We start from the raw sequence: 9,004 nt of genomic DNA, 5'->3' as shown, positions 1-9,004 counted from the left end.
ACATAAATTAAGCATCTCATATACACCCAGTGCTTTCTTTCCATTGTTCTCTCTTTTAATCCTCACCAAAACTGGTGAAGTCGGTATCATCCATTTTATAGATGAGAAAACTGAAGCCGGGTAAGGGGAAATGGCTCGCACTAAGTCCTTTAGCCAGCAGGCAGCAGGGCTGGAGTGGGAATTCCTCCAGTCTCTTCCCCAAAGCCCTTCCAAGTTGCCACTCAGTCAAACTACCGCTCTCATCACATAAAAATGCCCTTCTCTTGGAAATGTGCTTGCCATCACGATCCAAACATTCGAGGGACAGAAATCTCTTGGACCGCAATCACTGCTATTTTTTAAGTGATTGTTATCACGACTCAGTAGCTGTTACCATGGTTTTGGGGAAGTTGTCCGAGGAAGGAGGGCCTTTCTTTGGGCATCTTGCATGCCTGAAGAAGGAACTCAAGATCTCAGCTCTTAATTACTCTGATTGTGCTGCAGTAGCAACTTGAAAGAGACCGTCCCTAGAAAAGTGTTGGGGTGGGGGGTGTGGAGTAACATCCAGCGAGCAGGCAGAAGGGAGGCCCTGGGCGCCAGAGAGACCCAGGGAAAGGCGAAGAGGAGGGAGAGGGGACGAGACCGTGCTACGGGGAGCCTGGAGAGAAAGCCAAAGGAGGAGGAAAGAACAAAAGGCAAGAGGAGAGGAAGTACAAGAAAGTCCAGAAAGGAAAAGAGAAAGTTTCAGAAAGGGGAAGAGAAAGCAAGCAAGGAGGGTAAAAGAAGAAAGAGACCAGAAAGATACCGAACTGAGAGAGCTCGGAGAACTCGAGAAAGCAAAGGAGGTAAAAGGAGAGAAGATGGAGAAGGCGGCGGAGAGGAAGGGGGAAGGAGACAGAGGAACCGAGACTGGGGTGAGGGAGCGGCCGCGCGTGGCCCCCGGAGAGGCGCCCATCACCTGCGTGGCGCCCCCCCGCGCCGGAGTGCGGCCCTGCTCCCAGCGCCAGTGCGCCGCGCGGCTCGCCGGCCTCGTAGGATTGGCTACCGCCTCCCATTCATGTAACCTGCGTGTGCGTGTGCGTGTGTGTGTGTGTCTCTCTCTCGCTCGCCCTCTCTTTCTGTGTGTAAGAGAGCGAGGGTGGGGGACGGAGGCAGGCAGGCGAGCAGGCAGGGAGGGGAAGAAGAGAAGGGAAGCTATTAAACACACACACACACACACACACTCACACACGCGCGCGCACACACCCGCCCCAACCCCCCAGAAGCCTCGGGATTGCAGCTGTTTCATGTGGGGCAGCAGTGCTGGCAGGGACGCCGGCCGGGAGCGGCCGGGAGCGGGAGCCGGTCGTGCGCGCGCGGCTGGAGGCTCGCTGGGGCTCCGCTCCCCGCGGGAGCTATTGTTGGTCTCGCTGGAGCTGAGCGCAGAGCCCGGACCTGCTCCTTCCTGGGCGCCCCGCTACGGCTCGCGGAGCAGAGGAGCCGCGCCGCCGAGAGAGAGAGGAGCCACCGGCGCGGCGCCTTGCCTCCCTGCCGCCGTCCTCGCCGCTTCCCCGGCGGTAGCAGCCTGCAGCCACGGTAAGGCGGCGTGATCCGCTCTACGGAAAAGCGCCTTGGGGACCGCGGCGACGCCTCGCCAGCTCCATCGCCCTCTGCACTGCTGGCCCGGGCAGGGTTCGGGTAGCTCACGCGGCTGCCGAGGGCTCCGGGAGATGTTTGCTTGCTCCCCTGGCCCAGGAGGAGGGAGGCTAGGGCGCGGGTGGCCGAAGAGGCAAGCTGTTCTGGAGCCTGGAGCCGCCGCAGCCCCCGGAGCCCGCCGCGGACTGGAGCCTGGGAGCAAGGGTTGGGGGAGGGCAGGGAGGTGGGAAGCGGGTGGGAGGGAGGCGGCGCGCCCCAGGTTCGTCTGCCTCTCCCGGATCCCGTTCCCCGCCCCGGCCCGGTCGCCTGCAGCCCCTCTGCAGACTAGCTCGCCCCAGGCCCCCGTCGGGCGCTGGAGGAGCCCGCGAGGCGGCGCCGGGCTTCAGCGGCTGCAGCCTGCCCTGCGGGGCAAGTGCCGGCTGCAGCAGCCCCGCACGGGCGGTGGTTGGAGCTCAGATCCTGGAGATGCGACCCCAGCTCCTCGCCCTCTGCAACCCGCGGGGCGCCCGCCTCTCCTCACCGGGCGCCCGGCCGCGGTATTGATGTTCGTCTAGGAGCCAACTGAGGCTGCAGCCGCCAGATGGACGCTTGGAGGGCTCCCGGGTGTGAGTGTGACTGTATGACTACTCTCACCCCCAGCTTCGGGAAATGTGCTCTGGGTTGAAATGTGATCACCGAGCTCCTCAGTCATTTTAATTGCCATTTTTAAATGCGGTCGTTACATTGGAGGAGCAGACTGGAAGGTAGTGGGGCGGCGTGTGTGTGTGTGTGTGTGTGTGTGTGTGGACACACACACGCAACCGAGGAATACACAACCAACTACTTGGGTGAAGGGCGGGGGGTTCACCTAGTGAGTCCTTCTTGGCGGGGGGGTCGGGCGAGTTAGCTGCCCGCTGCCCGCCCCTTCTCTGCCTGCCCCCGCCTAGGCGAGGTTGGAAAGTACTGGAAATTCAGCTGCGTGGTCCTTAACTTTGGAAATTGGCTCCGCTTTCAGGGCAAAATGTTAAGGCGATTTATGCACCCGCGTCCATGTGGATGAGTGTATTACTGCTCAGTTGGGTGCAGAGCCCTCAACAGTACCGCGCCAAGCCCCCACCCGATCTCTAACTCCCTCCCACCCCCTAACCGTGGAGAGAGGGTTTATAGAAATGCAGTTATCTGTAAACCATCGACGCAGTGAAAGGGGCGCAGGGAGGCAGCCAGAGTTTTGCCTGAACCTGCATACTGGCTTGGTGTTTGTAGCACACGAGATCACCCCGCTGCTTTGTAGAAGGCGGTGGTGGGGCAAGCTCGGGATTCCAATCGCCGGGGTGGGGGGTGGGGGGAAGAGGGTGCCCATGTACTGAGCTCTGAGGCCGAGTAAGGAGAGAGATCTGCTGAGCGGCATCGCGGGCAATTACATAAGCTGCCTCGGTGATTACCCGGAACTGTGATGCGAGCTCCCGGTTCTCGAAAGACAAGCCTGAAAGTTTGCCTGCTTGGGGAGTGTAAGTACCGGGGCGCCCCCACCCCGGCCTGGGTAGCTAGGATACGCCTCGCACCACGGCGCCCACTTGTGCGATGGGCGTCGGGTGCTGATGCTGCTGTCCCCAAAGAACCGGTTACCGAGGCAGGGACTAAGTGGGGGCATCCGGAATTGATCGCAGAGGAGGAGTCAGTCAGAACTGAGGTTTCATTGGGTCTTCAGAGCTCCAAGTCTTCCCTCGGAGGTGTTGGAAGGCCTTCCAGGGAACGCCGTTTTCAGAAACTGACTTGGTGTCCTGGGGAGCCCCAAAGCCCCTCTTTTCCGCCCTTCCTGGGCGCCCCTCCTTGTCTTTCAAGCCCTGTGCCCTTCACGTGTTTAGAAACCTGCCCGCGGTGCCTGGTCCCCCTTGGAGATGCCCAGGCAGCCCAGCCATCCAGGCCCACGCTGGCGAGGGGTTAGAGGGAGTAGAACGCTGGCTCTGCCGGGCTGCCACCCTTACCTACACCTATTCCTGGTTTCCTGCGCTAGCCCGGCGCTGATGGGGACGGGATGGGGCTGGGGTCGGGTATGGCTTCCGTTCCTTCGCCTCTCGCCTCTGCAGACAGCAGTTTGCTTCTGTTGCGTTTATTCTCCCCGTTTCGCCGCTTCCCTCCAGCGCCGCAGCCTGTGTATCACGTTGATGGGCTTTGATAGAGAAACCACAGTAAGAGTATGCTTTTAAATCTTGATTTTCGTCTGTAGGGGGATAAGCCACCCCAGCCCTGACACAGCCGTGGGGAACGCTGAAGTCTGGGACACATTGGCCCTGAACTCCCTTCCCCCCAGCCCGCAGTCAGGAGATGGTGATGTGCATGGGTGGGGAGTGTTTTGTTTTTGCCACATTCCAGCGTCCTGAAACCTCTCGTCCCCTCCCACTGAAATCCCCGATCTGTCTGAATCTGTTCCTTGCTGTAAAATAAATCCTCCCTCCCGCAGACCTGTGGGGCCCTTCGGATTTCCTGCCGCTGCCATGATCCTTAACAATGCGATTGAAAAGCCAGTGCTCGGCTGGAAAAAAATCCCCAGGTGCCAGCCGGCCGCGCCTTGACCTTGCTGAAGGAGCCTTTAACCCGGCTGCCAGAGGGGCTCTGGTCCAGCCGTGGGAATCCAGGAAGAAGGAGGGCGCCCCGGAGGCGGCTGGGTTAGCTCCCCGGGCAGGGCGGGAATCAGGTCGCGGCGGGGACCGCAGAGGGGGAGGGGACGGGACTCCGCGGCAACCTGTTTCCCGGCGAGCCGGGCCCGCGCATCCCAGCTCCCTCGCCCCAGCCCCTCGTGGCCCGCCTCCCCCGCCGGCCTCCAGTTGTCTTCGTGGTACAGGAGTCGGCCGCGACTCCCTCGCGCTCTCCGCCGGAGTCCGCGGGACGCCGCCAACTTTGGGCTCCTCGGTGGCCGGAGCAGCGGTGCGAACCAGCGGGGCGGCCGGGTGGGCGGGGCCTGGGCGGGAAACTGGAGCCGAGAAGACCGCGTTCCAGGCCAAGTTCCAGCCGCAAGCGCCGCGCGGCACAGTGCAGGGTCCCGGCCGCGCCTTTCTCCCGTCCCCGGCCCGGCCGCGTTCCTGCGGACTCACAGCGCGCTCCGGGCGCTCTGCAGTTGGGCTTTCAGCGGGGGAGCCCTTCTCGTCAAAGTTACGAGGGGTGTTTTCACTGGTGGTGACAGTGGGAACTAGTTTTCTGCGCGCCTGTGTGTGTGTGTGTGCATGTGTTGGGGAGCAGAGAGATTTGCAGCGAAGTCACACATAGCACAAAAAACAGGTTTCCCCTTTCCAGGTGTTATAAGGGAATGCTGAGGAGGAATCCGTTTTCTCCGGTGAGGGTGTTGACGGGAAGCCCTTCCACTTAGTGGAACTGGACCTGTTGGAGCTGATTGCCTGGAGTGAACGGGTGTCTCCTTTAGCGGCACCTGTGTGCCGTAGGTCCTTGGAAATGTTTGGGGAACTGAAAGTCCTCAAGATATTCAGCCAGGACTTAGGGCATAGATGTTTGTGTGCTTTTAGGGGGCTAATTCGGGGAAGCTTTTATTTCCAGCATGTGTCTTGAACTGAGGGGAGGGCAGGGTGCGGAAGGCTTGTGGAATTGCCATCTTCTGTGGTGGGGGAAGGGATCAGGGACGGAGAGCTTTGGTTTTCTAGAAAGAGTTCTTGGGTTCTTCCTCTGCTCTCATCTTGTTTTCATCAAGGCCTCTGTTTGGGGGTGGAGGTAGAGTGGTGCGGTAAGCGGATCAGCCACCCTAATAGACCGGCCTTGACCAGTGCGGATGCCAACGGGCAGAACTAGTGCTTGGTCTGAACAAGAACCATCAAAGGATAGTTCTATAGTGAGTGGAGTGACCTGGAATATGAGGTAGAAGGCTAGGTGTTAGAGTAATGGGTTCCCACGGACTCTCTTCCAATAGAATCTGATTCTATTTGGTATAGTCTCCTCAATCTTTTGTGGTTTTGTGGGAGTAAGGTGATAGGATGTGACTTTAATCTCTTAACTATTGGGTTGGAATCATGGCTCTGTGGCCTTAGGCAAATTGTCTTTGGAGCTTCAGTCCTCTCCCCTGTAAAATGGCACAATATTACTTAGTTTGCAACACTGTCAGGGTTTTTTTTTATGATCCAGTCTATAAACTTTATTCAGATTTTTCCAATTGTCCCAATAACGTCCGTTATAGCAATAGAAAATCCTGGCTTATGAGTTCATTCAGCTTTTCATGTCTCTTTAAACTCTTTTAACCTAGAACATTTCCTCATCTTTTTAAATCTTTCATATTATTGAACACTGTCAGTTTTAACATCGATAAGGCCTCTGGCATACTGTGGTCCCTTCACAGATGCTTGTTCCTTTCTACCTCCTTATCCCCTTCCAGGAAGCATCCTGCATTTGTTGGGTGGAGATTGGGCAGAGAAATCAACAGCCCCGAAAGAACCACCAACCTTGCATCCAGCCTATTTAAAACCAGCTTCAAATGCGTGAAATGAAAATTTCTTTTCTTTTCTTAGGAAAGTCATTTCCAGTTTTGTTAGAATTTGTGCTTCATTGAGTCCCTTTTTCTGACAGAGTTGCATCCTCATGCAGATTGACATGTTACATAACCCGATATTTCCAAATCAAAAGTTACAAATAAGGGAAAAGAAGGTGATTAGGAATTAAAGATTGTTGGGCAACACAAGCAAAAGACTCAATTTAAGATGCCAGCTCACACTCTAATTGTGCTAGAGGTTGAAGGAAAATGAGACTTGATAAGCACCAGTGGTGCAAGTCTCCGCCCGGGGTTCTCAGCCCCTGTCCTGGTCTAACAAACAGCTACACAGCCCCAGCCCAAACCTTTTGTAGTTCCTGTCCCAGTAACTTCTCCCACATCCATTAATCTAAAAAGTTAAACAAAAGAAGAATAGGATTTAAATCACCTCCTTGCAGATTTGATTCCAAGAGCCTAGCAGGGTAAATCAATGTCAATTCTAGATCTAAGGGGCCGATTTCTACCTGCCTTCTTACATGGTCTATCAGCTTGGCTTTTATTGTAACTGAAAGCTGAATCACTCCATCTTTGCTTTGCACTGGCAGATGGGCTGTGGGGGCCACTTTGAAAGTAATATGCCCCAGTTCTCAGGGAGCCAAGCAAACATGGATCCCTGAATGTTCTCTGTATGGAAAATGTCTAATGAAGCCATGTAGATATATGTGCCTATTGCTTCCGGGGTTATATATTTATTACTTTTTTTTTCTTTTACAGTCTTTATTCTAATGACCAAAGTAATATGTGCTCACTGTAGCAAATTCAGGCATTACAGAGAAAAGCAAAGCCAAAATGTTCCACCACATTTTGGGTTGTACCTTGTGACTTTATGAATGTAGAAAAAATGATGAGATCCTAGTATAGTGTTTTGAATGCTTATTTTCATCTAATGATAAAGCATGCAAAACTTTTCATGCTCTCTTTTCCTCCTACGGTGACATTTGTAATGCTACATAGACCCCCAATGTTATAGTATGACAGATATAATTTAATGAGTACCTAATTTTTTGACTTTGTGTTTATTTTTTTTTATTATCATAACAAGACTGTAGTAACCATCCTTGTACATACTGTGTAGTTTTAGTATTTCCTTAAGATGAATTCCTAGAAAGTAGCATTTCAGGGTTAAAGGCAGATACCATACTAAAGCTTCTGTCACACATGAAAAGCAGTTAGGTAAACCATGATGTCTCTTTCATCTTTTTAACCAGAATATGGCTATTTATTTTGCAGTCCCTTACAGGCTTGGAAGCCCAGGTGGTAGAAGAAGGCAGGGGTGACAGTCAAACTTCAAGCAGGGAATTTGCATAATTTTGAGCTGTTCTGCTGAACTGATACACAAATTCTTTTTCCAAGAACATTTTTCTTCCCTGGCTCTTGGAATCATCACTTTCTGGAGTGCTTCAGCCAGCAATGGAGTTGAAATATGTAAATATGTTCCTCAGCGTTGTAGGTGGGGCTGGCTCCATGGTGAATGACAAATAGTTCCTCCGAGAAGAGTGTGTGTCTTCAGCATTTGCTGAGGCTGTGGATTTCCCCCTCCCACCTTTCTCCTTCCCTTTGGTTCAGAGGCCTTAAACTGGCCTGGGAGATCTTACAAAGCAAACAGTTGAGACTCTACCCCACAGCAAGCTTATCTCCACCTGCTGTATGGCATTTTACTAGGAAAAATCAACCCCACGGAGTCTCCCTTCACAGTTCCAGGGCCCAATCAATCAATCAATCAACATGCCTACATGCTATTTTGAAAGTGGAAATTGTTAGGCATCTTGTCCCCTCTTTGCATGGTTCAATCAATCAGAGGGTGCTTTTGCCGTTACCCCTTCTCAAGTGTGGGATTTCTGTGACCAGAAAAGATGTGTTCCCTGTAGTTAGATAGCTAGTCATCTGACAAAGAATTCAGTGGAACCAGTGGGGGAAGTCCAGTCCTCCCATTTCCAAGGTGCCCCCATGCTCAGCAGGAGACATGAGGAGTTCCTTTAGATCAGGTAGAGAGGTCACCTCAGGATTGTTTCACGGTGTGGTCACCACAGAGGGAGCCCGCTCTGTTGGTTGCTGACTCTGACTTCAGACAACGGTTTAGATGCTGCTTTGATACTTATGCCACTCTAGTTTCACTAGGGAAGGTGAAGGGGTGTTTCTGTTCTTTGTCATGTTCTGAACATCAAATCAGAGCTTTTCTTTCATTTGGAAAACAGAAAGGAAACAGGCCATATGGGATCTCCAGAGCAGTGGTCAGCACCCCGGTTCCCTTTCCCTGTGTGTTCTGCACTGGCTTTACACAATGGCATCACTGTAGCCTCACCCAATAGTGCAAAAGGGTATCAGAGGCAATTGGTTAATCATTAAAATCCTTAAGAACATTAGGTTTTAAGAATGTTTTTCTTTGAAAGTCGATTTTTCTCGCTGTGGGATGAGTGTTGATTTCTGAAAGGCTGGTCTTGCACCCTTTGAAAGTCAAACAAAAGGGTTGCAGTTAGTACATTTATGGCCTGGGGTAAACCTTGCCAATTCCTGATGCCAGTTTTCCTCACTATAAAATTGGTTTGGGAGAAGAGAGTGGTTTCCATGTCTTGTTAAGTTAGTGCAATCTCAAACTCTAATGTGCACACCCCTAGTTCTGGGATCTTGTTAAGATGCAGATTCTACTTCATTTGGTCTGGGGAGGGGCCCAAGAATCTGCATTTTTCGCCAGCTCCCAGGTGCTGCCATGCTCCTGGTCCATTGTCCACACATGGAGTAGCAAGATTTCAAGCTATCTACTGCTCTGACTTTATTTCAGAAAGTCATAATCATGACCCCTGGATGTCAAGAGGAGTTGCTTATATTTGTAGAATGACACTATAAAGGGATGTGCCCATTCTTTCATTTTAGATTTGGGGAATA

The 9,004-nt window shown here is 53.0% G+C and overlaps 1 protein-coding gene across 5 annotated transcripts in view, besides 2 other annotated features; it reads left to right on the top strand.

Annotated features, from left to right (window-relative positions):
• Positions 905-1,074: a silencer, noted in NCBI's record as "silent region_3815". NCBI's record gives its function as "represses an Ori minimal core promoter by ATAC-STARR-seq in GM12878 lymphoblastoid cells {active_cell/tissue: GM12878}" and the evidence as "EXISTENCE:reporter gene assay evidence [ECO:0000049][PMID:35858748]".
• Positions 1,033-9,004, top strand: part of TENM4 (teneurin transmembrane protein 4) — a 788,202-nt gene continuing 780,230 nt past the window's right edge. For all 5 annotated transcript variants that reach the window (XM_047426739.1, XM_047426737.1, XM_047426736.1 and 2 more), the window contains exon 1: positions 1,033-1,554. The gene's annotated coding sequence lies outside the window, so the exon portion shown is untranslated. The remainder of the gene's footprint in view (positions 1,555-9,004) is intronic.
• Positions 1,335-1,444: a silencer, noted in NCBI's record as "silent region_3814". NCBI's record gives its function as "represses an Ori minimal core promoter by ATAC-STARR-seq in GM12878 lymphoblastoid cells {active_cell/tissue: GM12878}" and the evidence as "EXISTENCE:reporter gene assay evidence [ECO:0000049][PMID:35858748]".

Source organism: Homo sapiens, chromosome 11 (assembly GCF_000001405.40).
Source record: "Homo sapiens chromosome 11, GRCh38.p14 Primary Assembly".
Taxonomy (NCBI): Eukaryota; Metazoa; Chordata; class Mammalia; order Primates; family Hominidae; genus Homo; species Homo sapiens.
Note: the sequence above shows the minus strand (reverse complement) of the source record. Positions and strands in the feature narration are given on the sequence as shown.